The 25,780-nt window shown below is 38.8% G+C and overlaps 2 protein-coding genes across 14 annotated transcripts in view, besides 6 other annotated features; one reads left to right on the top strand and one right to left on the bottom strand.

The window, feature by feature from the left end:
* Window positions 6,449-6,578: a silencer, noted in NCBI's record as "silent region_15811". NCBI's record gives its function as "represses an Ori minimal core promoter by ATAC-STARR-seq in GM12878 lymphoblastoid cells {active_cell/tissue: GM12878}" and the evidence as "EXISTENCE:reporter gene assay evidence [ECO:0000049][PMID:35858748]".
* Window positions 6,449-7,318: a biological region, named in NCBI's record as "NANOG-H3K27ac-H3K4me1 hESC enhancer GRCh37_chr4:174255709-174256444".
* Window positions 6,500-7,235: an enhancer, noted in NCBI's record as "NANOG-H3K27ac-H3K4me1 hESC enhancer chr4:174255709-174256444 (GRCh37/hg19 assembly coordinates)". NCBI's record gives its function as "activates a minimal SCP1, AML or CMV promoter by ChIP-STARR-seq in primed H9 embryonic stem cells {active_cell/tissue: H9 hESC(primed)}" and the evidence as "EXISTENCE:reporter gene assay evidence [ECO:0000049][PMID:30033119]".
* Window positions 7,069-7,318: a silencer, noted in NCBI's record as "silent region_15810". NCBI's record gives its function as "represses an Ori minimal core promoter by ATAC-STARR-seq in GM12878 lymphoblastoid cells {active_cell/tissue: GM12878}" and the evidence as "EXISTENCE:reporter gene assay evidence [ECO:0000049][PMID:35858748]".
* On the top strand, window positions 7,435-10,417 carry HMGB2 (high mobility group box 2). Of its 3 annotated transcripts, none has more exons than NM_002129.4 (5): window positions 7,435-7,521; window positions 8,124-8,293; window positions 8,579-8,724; window positions 8,798-8,972; window positions 9,555-10,417. In NM_002129.4, the coding sequence occupies exons 2-5, from the start codon at window positions 8,144-8,146 to the stop codon at window positions 9,711-9,713; spliced, it is 630 nt and encodes a 209-aa protein (NP_002120.1). In that variant the 5' UTR covers window positions 7,435-7,521; window positions 8,124-8,143; the 3' UTR covers window positions 9,714-10,417. The 3 variants fall into 3 exon arrangements, with proteins under 3 accessions (NP_002120.1, NP_001124160.1, NP_001124161.1); NM_001130688.1 differs by having other exon boundaries at window positions 7,435-7,547; NM_001130689.1 differs by lacking the exon at window positions 7,435-7,521 and having other exon boundaries at window positions 8,024-8,293.
* Window positions 7,939-7,988: a silencer, noted in NCBI's record as "silent region_15809". NCBI's record gives its function as "represses an Ori minimal core promoter by ATAC-STARR-seq in GM12878 lymphoblastoid cells {active_cell/tissue: GM12878}" and the evidence as "EXISTENCE:reporter gene assay evidence [ECO:0000049][PMID:35858748]".
* Window positions 8,069-8,188: a silencer, noted in NCBI's record as "silent region_15808". NCBI's record gives its function as "represses an Ori minimal core promoter by ATAC-STARR-seq in GM12878 lymphoblastoid cells {active_cell/tissue: GM12878}" and the evidence as "EXISTENCE:reporter gene assay evidence [ECO:0000049][PMID:35858748]".
* Window positions 10,418-17,825: 7,408 nt separating the features above from the next.
* GALNT7 (polypeptide N-acetylgalactosaminyltransferase 7) overlaps window positions 17,826-25,780 on the bottom strand; it is a 155,157-nt gene continuing 147,202 nt past the window's right edge. For 10 of the 11 annotated variants that reach the window (XM_047415780.1, NM_001375599.1, NM_017423.3 and 7 more), the window contains 3 exons: window positions 24,061-24,159; window positions 23,234-23,362; window positions 17,826-20,213 (listed from right to left, as the gene is read on the bottom strand). In XM_047415780.1, the coding sequence (XP_047271736.1) occupies window positions 20,076-20,213; window positions 23,234-23,362; window positions 24,061-24,159 (366 nt within the window). In that variant the 3' untranslated portion in view covers window positions 17,826-20,075. The remainder of the gene's footprint in view (window positions 20,214-23,233; window positions 23,363-24,060; window positions 24,160-25,780) is intronic. The other variant, NM_001375600.1, reaches the window with a different exon arrangement.

The following is a 25,780-nucleotide window of genomic DNA, read 5'->3' as shown; positions in this document are numbered from 1 at the left end:
GGTTCCTTTTAAGATTTTCTGTTGTTAGTTTTCAATACTTTTTATTATGCTGTGGTCCAGATGATATCTTCTATTAGAGATGGTTTGACCTTTGCAATATTCTACCTATTGCTAACAGGGAGAAAGTTAAAGGATTGATTATCTCAATCCAATTAGAGATTGAGCTGTGTCCAGGCTAGGCTGCAAAGTTTTAGTAAGACCCTTCCATCTGTGGCTTATTTCTTTTGCTCATACATTAAGACATTATCACACAGTCTTTTGATTAAGGGATTGACAGTCTCTGTCTCCTTAGCCCTGAAAGACTATGAAAAATTCATTTCTGCTCTTTGGAGGGTTTGAACTTGTGTCTCTACATTCCTGCCTAAACAGTTTCAAAAAATGTCAAATGTCTTCAGGAAAAGACAATGATGAGTTTGTGGCAGACCCCTCCCTCCAGCTAGACTTTTGTCCACTAAACACTGTGAAACCCTGGGACATTTAGCTTTGTCTTTTAGAAGCTTCTGGCACAACTCTCTAGTCTCCCATACCACCTCGGCATTCAGCTAATCTGTGGAAAATAGGCCAGTACGGATATTTCAGAGTCCTTTAGTTTCCAACTGATTGTGCTAACCCCCACCAATACAACTGACAAATGCTTGCTGGAGTCTCTTTCATTTAGTCAAAGTCCTTCTAGAAGCCTAAGCCAAGTTAGACTGACTTCAGTTCCATGCCTAAAATCTACAGAATGTTTTCAAAACTCATCAGCATACCTAGGAAGGTCTCTTTCCGGTCTGGAATTTTAATTTGAGTTATTTTTTGATTGCTTCAACAGATCTCCAATGTATTTTAAAACATGATTTTTACAACTTGTCATTTTTTTTTCTAATTGTAGTAGAGGCTTTTAGAACTAAGTAACTTTCTTGTGGACATTTTGCTGCTGCTTCTTCTAATTATTATTTTTGAGACAGAGTCTCACTCTGTAGCCCAGGCTGGAGTGCAGTGGCTCAGTCATAGCTCACTGCAGCCCCTGTCTCCTGTGCTCAAGCAATCCTCCTGCCCTCAGCCTCAGTAGTACAGACTGCAGGCACGCATCACCAAGCCTGGCTAAATTTTTTTTTTTTTTTTCAGTAGAAAGGAAGTCTCACTATGTTGCCCAGGCCGGTCTGGAACTCTTTAGCTCAAGCAATCTTCCTGTCTTGGCCTCCCAAAATGCTGAGATTACAGGTGTGAACTATTGCACCTGGCCAGTTTACCATGACTTACAAAAATATTGTTTAAATAGGAAAACAAAATATCTTTGACTATTTAATTGTTTCGCATTGAAAATGTTAGCAGCAGAATGAGAGGTTTTCATTTCTTCCTAACCTGTGCTTCACTTCTTCAAAGATAGAGTGTTAAATTATTTCAGTAAATTGAGTTTTTGGGGTGAGTATACAGTTAGGCTTCAGAATTGGTGATCTACCCACTAGTGGATGTGCCTGTTTGATAATACTTCAGTATACTGATCCTTTCCCTCTCATAGCCTTTAAAACAACTTGAAAATATTAAGCTCCAATGTAAGATTTATCTTTGAGAAATTGTGTGCAGAGTAATGGTTTTCGGTTTTTTACATTGTGCAACTCAAGAAAGCAATTATTTTATATGCAACTAACTTTATATAAAGTATATTTAATGTTGGCTATGAGTTAGTCAATAAATAAGAATTATCAAGACCTTTTTCTTGCTTTGCAGAAGAAGGGCTTAACAAAAAAAGTGTATATTCTCTTTCCATCAGTATTTTCCAGTCTGGTTTGATGACCACAGATTATGAAAAGTCCAATTTTTAGGAAAACTAAATAAGTGCTAGGAATTTCAATAACTGGCATTAACACAGATCATTCCTGTCAGATTACACTGCTTTAGATAAATTCCAGTTTATCAACAGAATAGCTATTTAGAGGTGTTAGAGGACTACTTTGGAAACAGCTTCACTAACTCATAATTAGTTTATTGCCTAATGTTTATATTTTACAATTCATGAGATGCTGAACTCAGACAAAGTTTGGCAGGTAAAGTAATATACTGATATCATCTGGCGGGGAAAAAAGCTGGTAAGGTCATTTTAATGAAAGAATAGGATGACTGAGCAATATTATGTAATCTAAAGTTTAGTCTACATAGTTTATTATATTTGGGCTATCAACTCTATCCTAATGCTGTTTTGATTTTAAAATTTATTTTTATCATTTGGGACACAGTCTCGCTCTGTCACCTAGGCTGGAGTGCAGTGGTGTGATCACGGTTCACTACAGTCTCAACTTCCTGGACTCCAGCGATCCTCCCACCTCTGCCTCCTGAGTAGCCGGGACGACCAGCGCATGCCACCATGCCTGGCTAATTTTTGTATTTTTGGTAGAGATGGGGTTTCGCCATGTTGCCCAGGTTGGTCTCAAACTCCTGAGCTCAGAGTCTTGCTCTGTCACCCAGGCTGGAGTGCCATGGTGCGATCTTGGCTCACTGCAACCTCCGCCTCCCTGGCTCAAGCAATTCTCCTGCCTCAGCCTCCCAAGTAGCTGGGATTACAGGCGCGTGCCACCATGCCTGTCTAATTTCTGTATTTTTAGTAGAGACGGGGTTTCTCCATGTTGGCCAGGCTGGTCTCGAACTCTAACCTCAGGTGGTCCATTCGCCTCAGCTTCCCAAAGTGCTGGTATTACAGTCGTGAGCTACTGTGCCTGGCTTAATTGGCACTCTTATAGTCAAGGGATTTCATATGACCCAAGTTATTTATTCTTTAAAATGTAATTATAATTTCCTGACTGCCCAATTGCGTAAGTTAAAATGTAATATATATTTTCCCACACTATGATCACATATTCACAGAATTATAGAATCACATGATTTAAGAGCTGAATTCTACCTTGGAGATTATCCCGTAAACTTCAATTTATAGTCTATCAGTCTGAGGCCTAGAAAAGACCAGGCACGGTGGCTCATGCCTATAATCCCAGCACTTTGGGAAGCCTAGGCAGGTGGATCACCTGAGGTCAGGGGTTCGAGACTAACCTGACCAACCTGTCTCTACTAAAAATACAAAATTCGCCGGACATGGTGGCGCACGCCTGTAATCCCAGCTACTTTCGAGCCTGAGGCAGGAGAATCGCTTGAACCTGGGAGGCAGAGGTTGCAGTGAGCCAAGATCGTGCCATTGCACTCCAGCCTGGGAAATAAGAGTGAAACTCCATTTCAAAAGGCCTAGAAATGCTAATTGAACCATTCAAAACCACAAGCCCTGGCTGGGTTCTAATTTATGCATTTTTTAAAAAATGAAAAACACAAATATTTTCCTCTATATCATCTTGATACATGTTTCATCTTGATACATGTTTTAGAAATATGTATCATTTTAATAGAAATAAATTTGTGGACTTTTTAGAATATATACAATTGATATGTTCTTGAAAAAATGGCTTTAAAACTGTTTTAGAAATACAATCTTATTTCACATTTAGGACCACAACAGGATTAAAACAATGAGAAAGATGTTTAGTATTAACTCTTTAAGGGACATTTTAGTTTTCTGATAAAGTCATAATAGTGTGGCAAATAATTCATAGTATAGTGAACTGGCCTTATGTTTTGAGTGTGTGTATTTAATCCCTCTTTTGAGAATTAAATTTAGGACTAGATTTTTTGTGCTACCAGAGTCTGTATATATTTTTCACACAAAAAATGGGGTTGTTCTGTAACCAAAAACTGTATAATACGATCTCAGCTAAGCCTTATTTCTTTTACTACTTTACTGTGCCTCTTAATGGTACTTTTAAGGCAGGAAGTGTGTTATAGGAGTAAAGTCTGGGCAGTGATGGTAAAAGTAGGTTAAATATAGAAATGTTTTCCTTTTCTCTGCTGTCATGGAGAAGAGAATGGTAACTGGTATTAGCAGGGGTGGTTCTTTCCCTGCTTCCTTGGAGGCTGTAAGGAAAGGATCAGTTCCACGCCTCTCTCCTTGGCTTGTTCATAGCCATCTTCTTCCTATGTCTTTTTCACATCATCTTACTTCTATGGCTGTCTCTGTCCAAATTTCACCTTTTGATAAGGACATCAGTCATACTGGATTAGGGGCTCACCCTATTGCAGTGTGAGCTCATCTTAACTAGTTATTTCTGCAATGACTATATTCCCAAGTAAGATCATCTTCCGAGATACAGGATGTTAGTCAGGACTTCAACATAGAAAGTTGGTGGGAGGAACACAATTCAACATATAATCCTTAGGTGAGCCAAGCATCTACTCTTAGCTTACCCTGTGGTCCTTTGCCTCTTCTAGGCATCAACTACTGGGAAGTGATCAAAACACCTTTCTGGGTCAAGCACCGTGGCTCATACCTATAATCCCAGCACTTTGGGAGGCTGAGGCAGGCGGATCACCTGAGGTCAGGAGTTTGAGACCAGCCTGGCCAACGTGGTGAAACCCCATCTCTACTAAAAATACAAAAATTAGCTGGGCATGGTGGCACGTGCCTGTGATCCCAGCTACTCAGGAGGCTGAGGTAGGAGAATCACTTGAACCCTGGAGGCAGAGGTTGCAGTGAGCCGAGGTTGAGCCACTACACTCCAAAAAAAAAAAAAACCTTTATGAAAAATAGTACCCCAAATCCAATCAATTGCTAGTTTAAGTGATGGAATAGAAAGAAAAGAGATCTAAGAATCATTCTTAGAAAACAGATGTGCTAGAATAGAATGTAAAATTCAGTTAGTGGCTCTGATTTTGGATGTGAATAAATTCACTATTTGCATTACAGTGACATTAAAAAAAGCAGGTTGTGAAACCATCTTATTAAATTATACAAATAATGCAAAATTCCTCAAGTGAAGTAAAACTTTAGTGAACATTAAAAAGTTGATTAACTTGTAGTGAGAGATTATTAATGTAAATAAGTGACTCACATCTATTACCATTGCCCCTCTGACTAGTTTCGGACTCATAGAAAAGAATGAACACAGTGAATTGATTTCTAACTTTACCTCATTTATACCACGCCATCAACACTGCTATCTAATGTGGAAACCTAATTATTTCATTTTCCCCGGTTTTCCACTGGGGAGATAAAGACTAAATTCCTCTATAAGCTGCAGGTTGAGTATCATCATCATTAAGTTCCTGTAATACAGAACTACTACTAGTTGATCCCCAAACAAGCAAAGCTCTCTCAAAGGCCTTTCTGTTTTTTGTTTCCCCCTGCTTGACGTTCTCCAATCCACCTCTACTCAAATGCTACTTTCATAGAAGAGTTTTCCTACTTCCCTACACAGTCTTTAGGTGACTGTCTTATGCTCTCATTAATGAACAATTTTAACTAATGTTGTACTGTTTCCTATTTTTGTCCCTCTAAATTTTTGAGGTCACAGGCTATGACTTTTCATCTTTGTATCTCGACTGCCAAGCTCAATGCTTGGCATATTCAATACACAGTTCTTGAATAAAGGCCCAGTTTTTATATAAGCACAGCTTACTTTATGCCATAATTTAAAAAAATCTAAACAGAAACTTAAAAATACGTTTTAAAAGTGTAATGCATTAGTGATCTCACTGCTAATTGCTATTTGAATAAAGTACTATGAATTACTTGGTTAATTTGGATTTTTGGGTGCTTTTATAACACCCTTGTAACTAATTTTGTAGGTATTACAACTTAAGGCAGAAAAGAGAATGTTATAAACTAAGGTTTTTGATTAACAAAATTCTGGGACCCTTAAATAAAAGGAAATACATTTTTTTCTGTTTGAAAAACTGCCACTTTATTTTTTTGTGGTAAAACATACATAACATAAAAGTTACCATTTTACCCATTCCTAAGTGTACAATTCACTGGCATTAAGTACATTCACAATGTTGGACAACCATTATCCATTTCCTAGGAAAATACATTTTTTTTAAGATCTTTTTTATTAGTAAACCTAGATAAACAACTGCTGGTTTTCAAATACTATTATGACAACCATATACAAACCAAAGAGCATAGTCTTAACATGTGCCAACGAACTTACTGAAAAATTAAGACAAAATATTTAAATTTCTTGAAACAGTCACGCAACCTATATTCCAATAATGGGGGGAATCCCTCAAAACTAAATACCACAGAAATAGCACACCAGGATGTCAATTAAAGTCCTCTACCTTGGGAAAAGCAGCTTGTGACGCTGGTAAGCAGTAAGGTAAGGTAGCTTTGGCGCGCTCTCCCTATACTAACACGGAGGTTCTTAACCCAAGCTTGGAGGAGCCTGTAACGTGGCTGTATGCCGTTTGGAGAATATACGCAATTGGGAGTGGGATAGGGAGCATGCATTGCTTTTATGCGATTCTCAATTTTTAAAAACTATCACACTAGTAGGACGAGACAGTGAATGCCCAGGCGAAGGCCAGGCCAGCCAAAGACAGGGCAGCCGCCGGCTCCGAGCTCCCGGCGCACCGCTGCAGGGTGCGGCGTGGGGGCCGAGACACTCGGGGCTTGGAATTCCGGACCCGGTAGGAGGGGGCGGGGCCGGGGGAGAAGGCGCCGCCTCCGCCCCTTCGGGACCCGGAGGGTGCCCTTGTTTACCTCCCAGTATTTGTCACCCGAGACAAAGAGGGAAGGAAGGAGGAGCCTTCTGAGGGAAACTCCCTCGGCGGGAAGCATCTTACTTTCAGAACGTTTTTTAACACCCTACGGGACGCGGGAACGGTTCCCTCCCGGCCCCCCGCGCCCTTTCCGAGGTTCCCTGCCTTGACTTCCCCGAGTTCTACGACAACCTCAGCGACAGCGGGAGGAGCTGGGCAATCGGTTTTGCAGGGCAAACTCCAGGCTCTCCTCATTTATTATTCTCTGGGCGGCGCACGGGAGACCCTGCAGGGCAACAGAGCAGAGCGACTACAGCTCCCAGGAGCCAACGCTGCAGGGCTGAGCCGACGCGGGGGACAGACAGGACCTAAATGGTGGTCGGAGGAAGGGCAAGGCAGACCTCTTCTGTTACCTTAGCGCCAGCAAACCGAGCCGCCGCCGTCGCCAAGCCAGGAGACCAACCCCCAGTCTCCCGACTAAGTATTTTTAAATCTGGCGGGGCTTTCCTTCCCGAGCCAACCACTCCCACCGTTTACAGCCCCAACCAGTCAGCGTGAGGCCCGCCATTTTTCAAACCCTCTTCCCGCCGCCAATCAGGATCGAGCAGTACATTCCTCTCCTGACCGGTTCTAACGGGTCTGGGAGTTAACGACCTGGGCGACCCACCGAACCTGCTAGGCTGGGGCGTGGAGGGCGGGTCTGGTAAGACACTGACCAATCGTTAGCCTCCGTGGCAAGGGGGCGGGGACTATCTGGGTTTGAATAATCGTCAGAACCAATCAGATTAGTGGGGATGTGGCCCGTGGCCTAGCTCGTCAAGTTGCCGTGGCGCGGAGAACTCTGCAAAACAAGAGGCTGAGGATTGCGTTAGAGATAAACCAGTTCACGCCGGAGCCCCGTGAGGGAAGCGTCTCCGTTGGGTCCGGCCGCTCTGCGGGACTCTGAGGAAAAGCTCGCACCAGGCAAGAATACCCTCCAATACCCTCGGGTTCGTGGACCTGCCTTTCCCCATTCCCTCAGAGCCTCTACTCGGTCTCGGCGCAGTGGCTCTCGGGGTCTGACCCGGCGAGCGGCATTTGGGGTGCGGGCCGGCGAGGGCTGGGTCTGTGGAGGGCCGGCGGGCAGTCGGAGGAGGCGGAAACTGCCCCTGACCGGGCCCGGTTCTGGGAGTTTTCAATGTCGGTCACGAGGTGCTTAGCGGTTAAGTGAGGCTCGCGACGTGGGAGCTGGGGGACATTTCTGTCAGGAAAGGCGTTTTGAGGGCGCTTGCGGAGTCACCGGACTCGGTGAAGGGCGGGCGGCGGCGTCTCGGGCCCCGGGAGCCACTTGCTGGGCTGAGCCGCGGCCGCTCGGGCCGGGAGGAGGAGGAGGAGGAGGGTGTGCGCCGGGGCGCGGGCGGGGGCGCGGGCGGCCGCCCTTGGGAGGACGCCCTCGGGAGGAGGGGGGCGCGGGCAGGGCGGGAGCGGATTTGGGCGGGAAGCGGAGCCCCGCCAGCGCCCGCCCTGGCAGCTGCGGGCTCCGCGCCGACCCTCCGGCTTCCCCTCTCCCCCCTCGGCCCCGTCAGGTGGACGCGGATCTGTCAACATGGGTAAAGGAGACCCCAACAAGCCGCGGGGCAAAATGTCCTCGTACGCCTTCTTCGTGCAGACCTGCCGGGAAGAGCACAAGAAGAAACACCCGGACTCTTCCGTCAATTTCGCGGAATTCTCCAAGAAGTGTTCGGAGAGATGGAAGGTGAGGCAGGAGAGGGACGGAGCTCAGGGGGTGCAGGTGTGGTTTTCGGCTAGGAGGGCCTTAGGCAGGTAGTAGGCAACTCATGAGCTTCAACTTTGCCACCCCAGTGACTCACCTGAATATCTTAAGAGTTCCAGGCAGACGATTTTAGGTTTTTACTTATATAAGACTTCGAAAGCAAAATGCTGTTAAGGAAAATGTGGTCCTTAAAGATGATCTTGTCGTCTTTGGATGTTTATAGGTAACAATTTTGCTGTATTTTTGGCTCTTATTTTATGTCCACAGACCATGTCTGCAAAGGAGAAGTCGAAGTTTGAAGATATGGCAAAAAGTGACAAAGCTCGCTATGACAGGGAGATGAAAAATTACGTTCCTCCCAAAGGTGATAAGAAGGGGAAGAAAAAGGACCCCAATGCTCCTAAAAGGCCACCGTAAGTTTAAAATAACCCAAATTGCTCCTTGGATTTTTCCTTCAGTTTATTAAACTCTGTTGCTTCCTTTCAGATCTGCCTTCTTCCTGTTTTGCTCTGAACATCGCCCAAAGATCAAAAGTGAACACCCTGGCCTATCCATTGGGGATACTGCAAAGAAATTGGGTGAAATGTGGTCTGAGCAGTCAGCCAAAGATAAACAACCATATGAACAGAAAGCAGCTAAGCTAAAGGAGAAATATGAAAAGGTACAGTGTCATCTTTTTTAAAGCCGTGGATAAGACTAGGTATAGGTAATAACTGTAGAAAACCTGGGAAATTTAGTTAATCTTGTATTAATGGTTGTCAGCTATGTTTTGAAAAGGCCTAATGAAAATTGTACACTTCAACACAAGGTAATTGAAACCTTCCTTTTGACTGAAACCAGTGTTTGTAGCACTAGTATATTCCTGCAGACAGACTTGTAGTTACTTGTAGTTATTGTATAGTCTGTATAGTCTGTTATTTTTTTTTTTAAGCAGAGAGTCAAAGAAATTGTTTTATGTAGATATATATAAAATGTGAAGGTACAGGAGGGACTATGGCACTGTGTGTGATGTAAAAGGGTATTGGTAGTGAAAGTACTGATACTGCTGTATCGCAACCCTTGTCATTTTACGTCATTAACTTGTTAAAGCCTAGTGGGATAAGTGCTCTAAAAACTTAGACTGGTTACCTTTTTAGACAGTTATTAGGGTTATTGGTCAATCATCTTAGATTGTTTACAACTAAGTGGTTTTTCACAGTTGAGTAATGATACCGGATGCTTTATTTTTTTGACAATATTTCAGGATATTGCTGCATATCGTGCCAAGGGCAAAAGTGAAGCAGGAAAGAAGGGCCCTGGCAGGCCAACAGGCTCAAAGAAGAAGAACGAACCAGAAGATGAGGAGGAGGAGGAGGAAGAAGAAGATGAAGATGAGGAGGAAGAGGATGAAGATGAAGAATAAATGGCTATCCTTTAATGATGCGTGTGGAATGTGTGTGTGTGCTCAGGCAATTATTTTGCTAAGAATGTGAATTCAAGTGCAGCTCAATACTAGCTTCAGTATAAAAACTGTACAGATTTTTGTATAGCTGATAAGATTCTCTGTAGAGAAAATACTTTTAAAAAATGCAGGTTGTAGCTTTTTGATGGGCTACTCATACAGTTAGATTTTACAGCTTCTGATGTTGAATGTTCCTAAATATTTAATGGTTTTTTTAATTTCTTGTGTATGGTAGCACAGCAAACTTGTAGGAATTAGTATCAATAGTAAATTTTGGGTTTTTTAGGATGTTGCATTTCGTTTTTTTAAAAAAAATTTTGTAATAAAATTATGTATATTATTTCTATTGTCTTTGTCTTAATATGCTAAGTTAATTTTCACTTTAAAAAAGCCATTTGAAGACCAGAGCTATGTTGATTTTTTTCGGTATTTCTGCCTAGTAGTTCTTAGACACAGTTGACCTAGTAAAATGTTTGAGAATTAAAACCAAACATGCTCATATTTGCAAAATGTTCTTTAAAAGTTACATGTTGAACTCAGTGAACTTTATAAGAATTTATGCAGTTTTACAGAACGTTAAGTTTTGTACTTGACGTTTCTGTTTATTAGCTAAATTGTTCCTCAGGTGTGTGTATATATATATACATATATATATATATATATATGTATATATATACACATATATACGTATATATACATATATATGTATATGGAGTCTCACTCTGTTGCCCAGGCTGGAGTGCAGTGGCACGATCCCAGCTCACTGCAACCTCCGCCTCCCGGGTTCAAGCGATTCTTCTGCCTCAGCCTCCCTGGTAGCTGGGGCTACAGCCATGTGCCACCAAGCCCAGCTAATTTATATTTTTAGTAGAGACAGGGTTTCACCATGTTGGTGAGGCTGGTCTGGAACTGACCTCAAATGATCTGCCCACCTCAGCCTCCCAAAGTGTTGGGATTAACAGGTGTGAGCCACCACGCCTGTCCCAGTATATTGTTTAACAAGTTTATTTTGGGTGAAAAATTCTCTTTAATGGGAAGAAGAGGGGCTAGAATGTGAATTCATATCTAAAAGGACAAACTGAAACAAAATTCAATAACAAGATTAAGTTTTCTGCTATTAAGTTGAGCTGTTTCAAGATAGAATACCGGATTAGGTTTTGAGTTACAGTAGTCCCTCCTTATCTGTGGGGTGTAAGACCTACAGTGGATGCCTGAAAGAGCCAAGAGTATTGAAGCCTTGTTTTTTCCTATACATACGCAACTGTGATAAAGTTTAATTTATAAATTAGGCACAGTAAGATTAACAGCAATAATGAGAACATTTATAACTAGTAAGTTTTGTGAATGTGGTCTGAAAATACTGTACTGTGGGAAAGTGAAGCCATGGTAAGGGAGGATTACTGTATATCTTCATTTTGGTCTTAAGCTTTAGAATTATGGGTAACTAAGAAGCCGTTTGAGATGGTTATATTCCATGACTAAACTTACCTGGGAATTGTATTATTTACGGGGAAGGCAGTTATTTTAAAAATGCTTGTTTAAGGAAGCAGTTGCTGTATTTGAATTAAGATAACTTTCATTAGAGATTATTAGTGAAGGTTGGCCATCTGGTTGGCTATGTGCTTATAGAATTATAGAAGTAAGCTATTTGTTGACAATTTTAGAGTTAAATTTGACAATCTTGGTTACCTACCAAACTTTAAAATAGAAGTCAGGATTTCTGTTACCCAACCATGGGAGCTTTGGTTGTCTCATATTCGGTAAGATAATTCTCTGTTAAATAGTGGGGTATTAGAACAAATGGACTTAAGTAAAATCTTCAATCATCTTTATGATTGCCCTCTATTAATTATATTCTGAGTGGGAGAGACCTCCCAAAGCCATGAAAGAATTGATAAATTGGCCTACATAAAAATAAGAAATCTTACATTCAGACTTGGGGCTTTCACTTATCATAAGATGAAAACTAATTTTCAGTGTTTCCTGGTGGTAGATGACTTAATATGCTAAAACATTTGGGGTAATCTATTTTAGATACTACCTATGTCTGAGACCCAGTTCCCTACCTCTACCAAATGCTAGCAGTATGAACTTTACCTACTTCACAGTGTTTTAATGGTCGAAGTGTTATTTTAAAGTAGTAACTACTGCATAAAGGATATCGAATAAGAGTTTCTAAAACTGAAATAGAGTAAGTAAGTTTGTTTATTTAAGAATTTCTAAATAAATTAGATCCAAGAGGCAGACCTGTTGGGTTCCTTGTCACCTTTCTTTTTGGGAGTCTGTGACTTCTTTCATTATCTTTTCCATAAAATATACTTTTAAGTTTCTAAGCTAAGAACTATTCTTTTAATCAAGAGTTCCTCCAGAATGAACTCAGGATTTGAGATGGATCCTTCCTGGCTCATGTTTGATATTCTTGTAAGTGTGGATCAAAATTCCCCAAATTCTCAATAATCAAGACCAGGTGACTTCAAGGAGTGAACATATTGGAAAGAACTAAAATGAGGGCAAGAATTAGATCTCACACCAGCCACTACTTGGAAGTGTGTTTGTGAAACCTGTTTTCTTTTTAAAAATAGATCATATCTTAATAGTTCAGAATGTAAAAGGATATGTAATAGTTTATACTCTTTCTTGATTCTGCTACCCTGTCCCAGGAGGCAACACCAACAATGCAATAATCTATCCTTTAAGAAAGACATAGGTGTAAAAAATATATATGTGTGTATATGTTACAGTGTTACATAGAAGCTTCCTATATACAAGTGTATTCATCTCATTATTTTGGAGATTGTTTTCAGTACCCCAGAGCAACAGAGCTGCCATTTTCCTTTAAATAGCTATCTGTATGGTATCCCATTGAATAGATCATAATTTAACCAGTTCCCTAAGGATAATAGGATAATTATGGGTTTTGTTTTGTTTTTGTTTTATATACATATTTTCTTTTTTTTTTCAGACGGAGTTTCGCTCTGTCACCCAGGCTGGAGTGCAGTGGCACATCTCGGCTCACTGCAAGCTCCGCCTCCCGGGTTCACGCCATTCTCCTGCTACAGCCTCCCAAGTATCTGGGACTACAGGCGCCCACCACCAAGCCTGGCTAATTTTTTCTATTTTTAGTTAGAGAACACTTGCTGGGTATGGTGGCTCACGCCTATAATCCCAGCACTTTGGGAGTGTGAGGTGGGAGGCTCACTTGAGCCCAGGAGTTTGAGACTAGTCTAGTCAACATAGACCTTGTTTCTACCAAAAATACAAAAATTAGCCGGGCATGGTGGTGCATGCCTGTGGTCCTGGCTATTTAGGAGGCTGAGGTGGATCACTTGAGCCTGGGATGTCTAGGCTATAATGAGCTGTGATCATGCCATCGCACTCCAGCCTGGGCAACAGACCAAGACTTGGTCTGAAAAAAACGAAACCATTTGATGTCACATGTGAAAAAAGACCTACAAGTGAAGTAGGTGGGCCAAAAGACATGCACATTTAAAAATGTGCTAACTATACTAGCTAAAACCTGTGCTTAATATATGCCAGAAACTGCTCTGGTGCTGTTAATGGAGCCTGCTAAACAAAACTGCTTCTCAACAATAGAAGTTGTACTACGCTATGGAGTGGACACTCCATAGCAATGAAATGTTTTGGAGTGCCTGTTTCCTCATCTCAGCAACATAATAGTTCTCAAACTTCTTAGTCTTTGTTATTCTGATATAGATAAAATGTTTTCTATTATGAGTTTCATTTTTTTTTTATGTTTAACAGCCATTTGTGGGGCTGAGTGCAGTGGCTCATGCCTGTAATCCCAGCACTTTAGGAGGCCGAAGCAGGCGGATCACTTGAGGTCAGGAGTTCAAAACCAGCCTGGCCAACATGGTGAAACCCTGTCTCTACTAAAAATACAAAAACATTAGCCGGGTGTGGTGATGGGCACCTGTAATCCCAGCCACTTGGGAGGCTGAGGCAGGAGAATCGCTTGAACCCGGGAGGCAGAGGTTTGCAGTGAGTAGAGATCACGCCACTACACTCCAGCCTGGGTGACAAGAGCAAGACTCTGTCTCAAAAAAAAAAAAAAAAAAAAAAAAGCCATTTGTATTCTTTCCTGTGGTCTTTTCTCACTGGTCTTTTTATTAATAGTTTTTGGGAATACTATATATTAAGGAAAATGACCCTTTTGACTTTATGATGCTTTTTTCATGCAGAGATTTCTTTATGTAGGCAAATTTAGCAATTCTTTCACTAAAACTTTTCTAGTGAGGTCCTTCCCACTCAAAGATCATAAAAGACTATAAAAATAATTATCCTTTGGTTTCTTTTTTTAAATTTTTGATTACATCTTTGATCCTTCTGGAATTAATTTTGGTGCAAGGACTGAGGTAGGGGCTCACGTTTCCTTCCCGATGTCAGCCACTACTTTTGGTCTTTTAATCTATAAAAGCAGGGCACTGGGTTAGAATTTCCTAAATTCTCTTATATATCAAACAAAGCACTCACTGCAAACTTGATCAATAGAGGAAAGTATGCTTTTTTTGTATTTTACCTTTTACCAGTTTCACTTACTGTAAATCATAAGGTTGTCTTACATAGTAGAAAAATAGCATTATCTTAAACCTGGCTTTTTATTACTAAATATATCACTAAAAATGCTTTACAAAGCAGTAATGATTTTATTTCTTGGGGAATAAAATCAAGAAAGCTAAAGGAGCTGCTATGCCACTGTGTAAGATCTAGTCCTTTAAAAATGAAATTTCATACCTCACCATGTTTGGATTAGTTCTTCATGAGATTCCTGTTGGAGACTGACAGTTTTAGAGAAAGGCAGAGTATTTATTGACATTAGGAAATGCCAAGACCTATAGAGACTAGCCAGGGAAAAGGACTGGATGTGGTGAAGTGAAGAACATTTTGAAAGTAAGCTCTGTGAGGGCAGTAAAATTTTCACTTTTGTATACTGCTTTGTCTCTAATGCAAGAAACAGTGTTCTAAGCATGTTTGTAAATATACAAATACCCAGGTTAAAGGGGATAGCCACTGTTTAGCTCAGTCCTGTTGCTAGATGGAAATGTGAATATAGGATTCCCAGATCTCTCAAATTTTCAAGTGGAACTAGAACTCGTGAATTCTGAATTTTAAATACAGTATTGGCAATGAATTCCAATTTTGGGGTCAAAACATGTCTATAGGTAAGATTCTGCCCAAAGGTCACCAGTTTGCCACTTCTATAAATTAAATAGTAAATATAAGTGTAATAATTTTTACTTGAGTCAGGTCCAAGGTTAATAAAAGTTTATATATGCCTTACAGCTAACCATTGTTTTTATAGGTCAGAAACCCTTCTTGCCCTGATTGGAAACTCAACTTACCCTGCAGCAAAGGTAAATAAAAATGTTTCAATTGAACTTCATTGTGCTCCTGGGCCTTTATTCTTCAAGAGTTAACAGTGCAGACTTCTGGTGATCCTCATCCTAGGTGTTACCACATCTATAGAATAGTAACTCAGGAGTGCAATAGACTGTCGCATTAAAAGGAAAGAAAAATAACTTTTCAGCATTATGTAGCACTAAATTTTGGAACTGGAAATGGCCTTTATATCATCTAGTCTTTCATTAGAAAAGCAGGACAATCAACTTGGACATTGTCCTCGGGCAGATAAGAGATAGTAAAATACCATAATCCATTCATATTTGTGTAATTCTTTGATTCTCCAAATTTTTTCCAAAAAATATTAATGGCTTATACAAAGAAAAACAAGAACAAAATATACAAAGAAAAAAACAAGGTTATGAAAGAAATTAAAAGCAAGGTAGTGAATCACGGATTTGAATAGGGCTCTGTTTTTCTTACTGGTTTTGTAACATCAGACAACTCATGTAACATTTCGGTTTCCTCATCTGTAAAATTTGAATGTTTTTGAGGATTAAGTAAAGTAATACATTTAAGACACTTATCCTGGTGGCAAGAAATAGTAAATGCTCGATAAATATTAGCTAAAAGTATATATGCCGATATACATGGGTTAATACAGATACTACGATGGAGTATTAGATAAAGTTCTAGCTCACTGCAGCCTTCACCTTCCAGACTCAAGCGATTCTTCTGCCTCAGCCTCTCAAGCAGCTGGGACCACAGATGTGTGCCACCACACATGGCTATGTTGCCCAGGCAGGTCTTAAACTCCTGGACTCAAGCAGTCCTCTCCCCTTGGCCTCCCAAAGTGCTGCGATTACAGGTGTGAGCCACTGTTCCAGCCCTGAGGTTCTTGATAGTCTAGGTAGAGAGGAAAATTAAAGAAGTTATGTGGAAAACATACATTCTTTAGGAGAGTTTTTCCTGGCACCAAATAAATATTCATCCCACAGAGTTAGAGGGATATTGAGTACTGGACTTGATTATGTCCTTGACCCCAGTACTAAATTTGTGAACTTGGACAAGTTATTTAACCTATCATGTATAAATGTATTAACATACTGTATGTTTACTTTTAGTCACTTTTGAGATTGATAAAAAGTGCTGAATAAAGTGTTTTGGGAAGTGCCTTTTTCATTCAATCCTGTACACCTAAAACTTGTTTATAACAACTAGTTTATTCATATTCATCTCTGTAATATTCCATTGTGTGATTATATCACAATTCATCCTTTCTCCTGTCAATGGGCATTTAGGTTGCTTCCAGGGTTTTCGCTATTGCAAATGGCTGTGGTATAAAAATTCCTGTATAGCTCTCCTGACACTCAAGCGTACTTCCCCTCCAATAACCTGGATTGTAGATTCTAGCTGTTTCAGCAGCCGGAAACCTCCACTCCGCCTCCTCAGTTCAGCAATACCACCATTCTGAGCCGCATTCCTTGCACCATGGTTGGGAATGTCCTCCCATGGAGACAGACATGGTGAACCTGGGATTCACCTTGTGTATTTCCTTTCTTTTAGATATCAGTCTGCTTTGACTAGTATCCAATTCCTGAAAACAGTTGCTTCATATATTTTGTCCAGCATTAACTGTTGTTTGGGGTAGCAAGATAAGTCCACTTAAAATTATAGCCGGAAGTGGAAGTCTATTCATCCCTATTTTCTATTCAAATATTTAGTTTTGTTTCGGTTAGTTAATTCTTAATACAGCTGTGGTTTATTTGCTCAAACCAAAAGCCCAAGAGAAATTTCATTTAAAGGTAATTTGAAGGATACAATATCTTAGATATTCTTCAAGATGCACTTATCACATCACAGTTTCATAATGCTCAACACTTCTTAAAGTGCTTTCACATGGAATAATTTTCACGTACCTAAACTATTGGCCTATTAGGTATCTGGCTTTCTGGTGAGGTACTTGTCATGTTTTCCATTGAATTATATATGGATTTTTTTCCCAATTATGTCCAGAAATGAAATATATTCCAAGATCCCTATGAGAAACTTAAGAAATAAAGAAACTCCCATTTATTCTAGTCTGGTGCTGTCACTTTTTCAAATTTCTTAGCCTACTTCTACAGCAGCTAAGAATTGGGAGATATGACAATAGACAGGTCAGTTGAGAGAAAGTTTCCCAAATCAATACAGCCACTTACTTGAATCTGTTAGCAACCGTATCTTCTCTTGAGATGTGTTTTGTACAAGGTGCTATGGACTATTTCTAATTTCATTGTGGTAGGCTTCCCTTCTCTTCATTTTTCTCCACTTAACCTGATCTGTCAGGTTGTAAACAAATTTGATTTGAAGGCATGTTTGCTTCTAATAGGCAATTCTATAGTACAGCCAAGAAGGCAATTCTATATACAGCCAAGAAGGATATATGTTGCTGGGGTAATTTTTTATAATTAAAAAAAGTATAAACTTAAAAAATTGGTATACATAGGCAAACAGGTAAAAATAAACCTTTGTTTCCTTCCAACAGATACATAAGCTCTGAGTATTCTAAGCATGTGTAACAGAATGCTAAGCAACAGTCAAGCACATACTCAACTAATAACTATGGTCTATAATATTTTAGGTATTGTGTGTCTTGTAAATAGTAAAATCAAGTAATTCTTTCAAATGTGCAGTGTTTAGATTTGAAATGATTACAAGCACCAAAAAAACCCATGAATTAAAATACAATATTTTATTTTTGTCACCTAAAAAACAAGCAACCCAGAATTAAGATATACGTAAGTTTCTCAAATTTATCCTAATAAAATTTTGAATATTTATACAATTTCTACAGAAACATACAGTGTATCAAAATCTGCATAAATCAAATTTATAAAATGTGTAGAAATGCATAGTGATATTACCAACTTACAAAGCAAGGATATGGGAATTATTTCCAAAGCAGCCTACAGTAGAAAATAGTCATTATGGCAGCAGCTTCTGATGTTTTTGTTTGGTAGGTTTTCTGATTTCAATATATAGAATCATATTCATAGAGTATCTTCTTTTAACGAATTGCACAAAGTACCCATTTAAAATTTACATGCACAGTTCATTGCCACCTTTCTTAGGCCTATGCATAGTTAATAAGGTTATAATCTACTCAACATGGAAAATGGAGCCTATTTGCAAACACACAAGTAATTAAAGTACCAATTCTCTCTTAGTTTCTTTTTTTATAGTTGGTTTATTTTGCAATTATAAATGTTAAACATCCCTAGAGATGAAAGTTAAAATGGTTGATCACAGATCAGTAGCAAAATACAAATTGACAATTCAAAATTATAAATAAAACTCTGTTGAGGATGTTTAACTTTGAGTCTCCAAATTTAAGAGCTAAGCTTGGAAGAAACAAATTTATAGGTTATATTTCCCTCTTAAATTAAAAAACAAACTTCCTCTGGCAGTAGTTTGTGAATTCCTTTCATTGTAATGATACCATGATTACAGGATCAAAAATGCTTAACTTACTTGCCATTCTGCTCACATCATCACAGTTGTTTTTTTTTTTTTAAGCACTCAATGTAGGCATTTTAATCTTCTGGATAACAGAGTATCTTTTGAGAAATTAAAATCGAATTGACCATTTGCAATATTTGGTTTTCCTAATAGGTACTGTCTTAGTAAATGTTTAAATCCAAACAAATCTTCTGTTCACCGGAAAAATACTAATAAAAATACACTTTCTAAAAAGAAATTAAGAAACACTAGGGAACACCTAATGTAACAGAAAGTAGTTCACGTTTGTTAATAAACTGTATTTTTAAATAGTCCTTTGTTTTTAAATTTTAAAAACGTGCAGATAATGTCATTTGGATGAAAATATAAATGAAACATCAGTTCACTCTTGGCTTCACAGGTTGCACAGCTTAGGTTATAATGCACACAAGTTTTATAAGGCCTAATCTAACAAGGGCTTGGAAAGTCTTACCTCAGTCAGAATGAACCTTTGATGTGTTTATAACGGTGTTTTGTTGTTTTTGTCACCCTCGCTTTCAAGGGATAACAATAACAACTGATAATAGTTTTCTGTATTGGCAGGTATTGGAGAAAAGTAAATCCCAAATGTCAGTGGACAATTTTTCTCTAGTTGGAAGACTCCTTTGCAATCCTAGAAGTAGGTATGGACAGAGGGCACTGGGAATGCCAGTAGGTAAGGGAGTGAATGCTACACAACTTCCAACCCTATGGGACAGCCTTGGGATGTTCCATATTGTCATTTCTTTTTCAAGCCATACAAAGTTCAACTTTATAGCAAATGGCAGCACATAAATTCATTTCTGAGTAGTAAAAGTATTCCCCATACAGGTGACAAGTCCATCATTACCATCCTATAGATTTCATCACAAGCTCTTGAAATATATACTGAGAAATGAAAGAGGCACTAAATGTGTTGAAATTCACCTTTCAAAAAAGCAGCATGACTGTGAAGGAAGGCCACCTTGGCTAATAACCTGTGGCAGTGCTTCAAAAAGATGTAAAATTAAATAAAGACACAACAGGTTGATAATCACCAAGTTATATATGAAAGTCTGGCTACTCCAACCTTTTTTCAAGTGTGTTAAAAATAAAAATCAAACTGCCTTTCAGACCCCTGAGTGTAATCCCAAAGAAGACAACATGCTTTAACTCTGTCTAATAAAACAGAGCTAAAGGCACAAATTACCAACATCATCTTAAAACACAACAAAAAGATGTAAACATCTACAAAGTTTAAGGTAAAAGCAGTCTTGTAAACAGTAACTGCAGATGATAATGTTATTGTAAAATCACAGTTTATCAATGTCCTTCAAACTGATCAGGAGGTTCCAGGTTTGGAGCTATACAGAGTTAATAACAATAGTTGCAGCAGGTTTCAGGCGGTTTTCAGTCCTGTATAAATTTACTTGTCAGTAGGTAGGTTATTGGTTTATTTTTTTCTCTCTAAACACTATGGATGTTATTCATTTCCCATTTTTGAGTCGTTTTACTGGAGTCACAATTGGAGATGAATACTTGATGCAGGACCTCTGAGCGATCTAAACACTTTCCTGAAGGAATATGAGTAAATCTGTGCAGGTTCTGGAAAACACAGTAAGAAAAAAGTTTCAAATTTGGACCCTTGATATCACTGACATCAGAAATCATCACTTGACTTTCATGAGGAGACAGTTTAAGGAAATGGAAAAGCTTCTCAACCACACCTCAGACTTTGGATTTCTCTTGATTGTCAGTTTTCTGGATTTCTCTTGATTGTCAGTTTTCTAAGTCCTAAGATCTTTCATTGTTAAGTCACAATATACTGCTGGTATCTCACACTCAATGTATACAAACCTAAATTCATTATCTGCCCCTCCAAATCTATGTCTCTTGTTCCTATCCTGGCTAATGACATTCCCAGCTCTCTAGTCCTTAGGAAATACTGCACTTTTCCTCATTCACTCACATACCAGTCACTAAGGATGGATATGTGCAATGTCTCTGGTTTATATTCCTTCCCATCGCCACTGCAGATGCCCTGGTTTGGCCCTCACCATATGCTGTAGGTTTCTTCAATATAGCTCAGAGCTTCTCAAAGTCTGGTCCTCAGACTATCCAGGATTGGGTCTGTAAGGCCGAAACTATTTTCATCATAATACGAAGACACCATTGCCTTTTCACTTTAGCAACATTTATACCGATAGTGCAAAAGCAATGGTGAGTAAAACTGATGGTGCCTTAGCATGAATCAAACTATGCTAGTACCTATAGTTGTATTGCTCATGGCCACACACAGTTGAAAAGTAAATGCCGGTTTCACTTAAGGATGTCACTGATGAAGGAGCAAAACATTCGTTTTATTCAGTCTTGACCCCTCAGTATACTTAAAAAAAATTCTATGAGATGAAGTGGGAAGTACGTATCAAGTACTTCCATATAATGAGGTACAATGCTCAAGGATATCAGTCTACACTGGAAATAACTTTTAAGAAACTACCACTTAATTATTAAGTTGTGGTGTACAATAAAAAAACAGCCACAATTATATGAACGGCTATTAAAGTACTCGCTCCCTTTACAAACTGTATGCTTGTGTGGGGCTGGGTTTCCCTCATATACTTGAACGAAAACAACATTTCAGATCAGACCAAATGAAGCAGGAGTATGAGAATCCAGCTGTCTTCTTCTATTAAACCAGACATTAAAGAGATTTGCAAAAATACAGAATTCCATTCTTCTCACTATTTTTTGTGGGTAAACATAGTTATTTTTCATTAAAAATGTCATTTACATTAATGTTTAATAAGTATATTATTATTACTTTTAGATGAATTAATATATAAAAACTTTACAAATTTCTCAGACACTTTCCAGTTCTGGAAATATTGCTAGTGATAACCTATATAAACAAAAGCAATTTGGGGGTGGGGGAGCTCAAAAATTTTTAAGAGTGTAAAGGGAATCCAGAGGACAGAAAGTTTGAGAACTGCTGCTCAAGCTGATCTCGTTGCTTCATCAGTCCATACCTCACGTTTCCAGAATTATTTTCCTAAAAGTAGCCATTGTTTTCCATCACTACCTTCCTCAAATAAGGTCTATCCCTCTCCAAAACTTAAAAAATGAAGTTCGGTGCTCTTTCCTCCAAAGCACAATTGAGGGATACCAAATGAAATACAATTCTTTGAATTTTCTACATGTTTTCATGCCACATCTTTGCTCATCCAGGCTTTCTTATTTACTTTCCATGGAAAGCCTTTTTACACTTCAGGACTTGTGCAATGACACTTCCTCTATGAAACTCCTCAGCAGTAATTCCTCCCATGAATCACTCTTTTCTGTCCTATGGCATTTTGCTTATCTCTATTTTTGCATTTCTTTCTTCTCTGCCATTATATAATAGCGTGCTTTAGCTATATTTTTGAACTCCCCTACAGTCTAACATATTATTGGTCCCCAAGTGAATGTTCAGTAATATCTAACACACAAATGTATATTCAGTGCTGCGTCTTTAAAATACCTAAAACATGTTATGTGTCATTTTTTGTTCAATTACTTCTTGATGTAGTTTCTGGTGTGTTAGCCCTCTTTTACTATTTTGCTAATATTGTTCTCACTGACCCCTACTATTTATTGCTATTATATATCCTTTTTTTTTGTGAAAATAAATGCTCCACTCTTTAAGGTTTATGCTATTCTTCTCCTTCCTAACTTGTTATAAGAAACAAAATCATCAATTGATACGTGCTTATCACTTCCTGGAAATTATCTGTAAATGACAGTAACAGGGAATGTTAAGCTAGGTCATATCATTATTACATAGCAAACAAGTCCTTGCTTGCATGACAGATGGGATATGATAACAAATACTGGGTGAGTAAATAAAATGGAGGGTTGACAGATTTTTTTAGTGTGAGGCAGCTTTCCCCACTTTTTGTTTAATAATAAATTGATTTATGTTAGCCAAATCTAGAATTTGAAAACTATACATAAATCTATTAATATGTTGTAATCCTCAACTTGCCACAGAGCTTTAAATACTCACAGCTGAAACACAAAGCTACCCCAGCAGTGTCACGTGAATAACTAAATTTGACCATTAAAGTAAGCAACTAGCTACATTTATCCCACTGTATTTAGCACACAACAATGATAAAGACGTTATGAAAGCCTAGATTTCAAGTTTTATTTGTTTGTCTCTATCTCCACCTGCTGGACAATATCAAATATTAACCAAATTTTTAATAGTATAAATATATTTAAATATATTTTACTTTAATGAATGATTCATTTACATTTCAAAAATCAGATTTTGATGAGAGCAATGGTGATGACTGCCTCACAGAACACTGACTTTCTTGTATTACTAAAATTAGCAGTGCTCTTTATAGACATCATCGTGGCCTCATTACATGACAATATTGTAAGAGAGAACAAAAGTGATGCCTCATTATAGAACAATGAGTCATCCAGTGCTCAGGAAAACCTATGCAAGGGACTAAATGAGAGGAAAATGCAAGTGAATTTGAATGCAGGTTTTAAGATTTATTTATCTAAATTCCACATGCTAGATGTTACTGAAAATGAAAAGCATATAATATTTCAGAAGTTAAAATGCAGAATACCTTGAAGTACTGCCATTCCTTAAATTCATTTAGATTACAGTGTGTAATCATAACTTTTGATCCATCAGCTCCCTTTGTCAAACACTGGTCATACTGCATGAGTTGATTTGCTTCATTGATTCTGAAAAGCTGTAAAAGGAAAAGAGAGAATTAAGTAACAGAGGCACCTTCCCTGCTGATGTGCATTTGAAAAGAAAGAAACTTAACTCCTATAATTAAATTGAATGACTAACTTATTTTTCCATAATTTTGTTTAGAACTGTAAGTCCACAGACAAATTATATTTATTTTGATGTTAGTGAAGATCCTTATTAACACTGAAATCATTAAGTTCTTTAGTCTCTAAGATACCAAATGGGTCACTAACACAAATTTATTAAGTACCAACAATGTGAAAAAATGAAAAAGCAAAAACATACCCACATAAGTAAGAGAATATATATTAGTGAAATATACATTACTGGCAGTAACACTCTATTTGCAAAAAGATGAGGATTAGTGAGCAATACTTGCAAAAAATTGTTAGGGAGCTAGGCTTACATAGTTACGGTAGTGACAAATATATACTCCCACAGGAATATATTTTAATCCCTTATATTAGACATTAATTCTAGATTCTGACTGCTTATGTGAAAACCAATACTGCTATTATTCCCATCATTTAAGTGAATGTTTTAACACTGTCAATTTTTTTACAGAATGTTTTACTTTATCAAAACAAACAAAATTACCAAATCGAAAACCAAAGTACAAAGATCACTCTGTGATCAATAAACCTGATGGCCCTCAATACGGAACAACTTAAACACAAAAGTAAGGTGGTTTACCTGATTCCCTCCCATCCTGTGGCAGGGTCCTAGTTCAACAAAGCCTCCATTTGTTTTTCCCATGCTATCAATGCAGTAAGCAGTTTCGAAGCCTCTGATCTAAAAAAATGAATAAAGACGCAAAAAGCAGGCAACAGTTTAGTTTTTGATGAACTCTGGCATCAGAATTTAACATTTCATGTTAAATATTACAGTTTACAGGGAAAATCTGGGTATGTGTAGTGACAGGTTATTACTGGATTGTCAATCTTTACATAGTTTTGAAATAACTTATGGTCTTGAAGTCAACACTGGAATGGGTTCTTTCTCTAAGAGCAAAGGACTATACATTTCCGTAAAATACCACAGAGAAAAAAAAAGTTACCATTAATTGCAATTTCAGAATCACAGTAATTCATGTGAATGAGAAGCAAATAGAGAACCTAACCACAGTGGTAATAAACACTGGCCTGGCCCTAGATATCTAGAACAGACTGGATTTGTAAGGGACCTCTCCCAAATGGCTATGCAGCACTTTTGGTAGCTGCCTGTAGGGGTCTAGGGTGCATAGGCCATGCATGGCACATGACCAGGCAGTGAGGCTTTTCTCTATAAACGTAGATGAAAAGCAAACACAGGTTTCCATCTTTGGAATGTACATTTTGTATGAAAAGAACTATTTTTGGAAAAGCCATTTATTTCTCTGAATTATAAATCGCTATACTATTTGGATAAAATGTTTTATTCTTGCATTCAGTCAGCAAATATGGACTGTGCACCTATAATGATAACAGGTTTTGAGGATATGAAGAGGTGCAAGTCATGGTCCTCACCGCCTGTAGAGAGACAGAGGGGTAGTGGACCAGTCAGGACAGAGGTGTGAATGTACAGAGGAAGAGCTGCTCACCCTGCCTGGAGGAGCTCCAAAGACTGCCCCAAGAGACACCTTTAAAACAGGTAGGGGTTTACCCTGGAATGTTAAGGAAATGCCGAGAAATGAAGTATAAAGTGCAGATGTCAGAATGGGAAGAGGTTAAACTGAAGATATACTTGGGAGTGAGACAGTAAAAGGAGGACAGAAAATTCCATTTATTCATTCATGTATTTATTCAATCATCAAATATTAAGTACCTGATGTGTGCCAGGCATGTTGTAGGCTCTGAAACACTAGTGAACAAAATAAAGACACCTACCCCAGTAATGGGCATGCCACAGTGAATGTGGGCCCCTGCCTCCATTCACTCTGGGAATGTAAGGGAAAAAAGACAGAATATAAGTTAAAAAACATAGTAGACAATTTGTCTGTTATGGCAAAAGGTGATAAGTGTGGTGAAAAAAAGGAAAAGAAGAGGAAGTTAGGGTGGGAGCTAGGGCGTTGGGAAGTAACAAGGTGGACCTCACTGAGAAGTGGTAGGTCAGCAGACTTGAAGGAGGTGTGAGAGCTGGCCATGCATGCGTGTATCTGCAAGGAAGCATTCCTGGCAGAGGGAACAGCACAGGCAGGCACATGCCTGGAGGGAGTCTGAGGACCAGTAAGGACATGGGGCTGGAGTGGAGTGGGGAGAGCAGTAGCAGGTGAGGCCAGAGAGGAATGGGGACAGATGTTGTGGATCTTGGAGACTACCAGAAAGGACTTTGTCTTCACTCATAGGTGAAGGTGCAGGGTTTCTAGCAGAAGAAGGACATGATTTGCCTTTATTTTAAAACAGTCACTCTGACTGCTGTATTTGAAATAGGCTGT

The sequence above is a fragment of the Homo sapiens genome, chromosome 4 (genome assembly GCF_000001405.40).
Source record: "Homo sapiens chromosome 4, GRCh38.p14 Primary Assembly".
NCBI classification, from domain to species: domain Eukaryota; kingdom Metazoa; phylum Chordata; class Mammalia; order Primates; family Hominidae; genus Homo; species Homo sapiens.
This window is presented reverse-complemented; position numbering and strand designations above follow the sequence as displayed.

Bases quoted from the DNA above. Each gene is read 5' to 3' on its own strand.
- HMGB2 (NM_002129.4), top strand. From the start codon at position 8,144: ATGGGTAAAGGAGACCCCAACAAGCCGCGGGGCAAAATGTCCTCGTAC. The intron at 8,294-8,578 runs GTGAGGCAGGAG...TTATGTCCACAG, and splicing joins AGTGTTCGGAGAGATGGAAG to ACCATGTCTGCAAAGGAGAA. The intron at 8,725-8,797 runs GTAAGTTTAAAA...GCTTCCTTTCAG, and splicing joins AATGCTCCTAAAAGGCCACC to ATCTGCCTTCTTCCTGTTTT.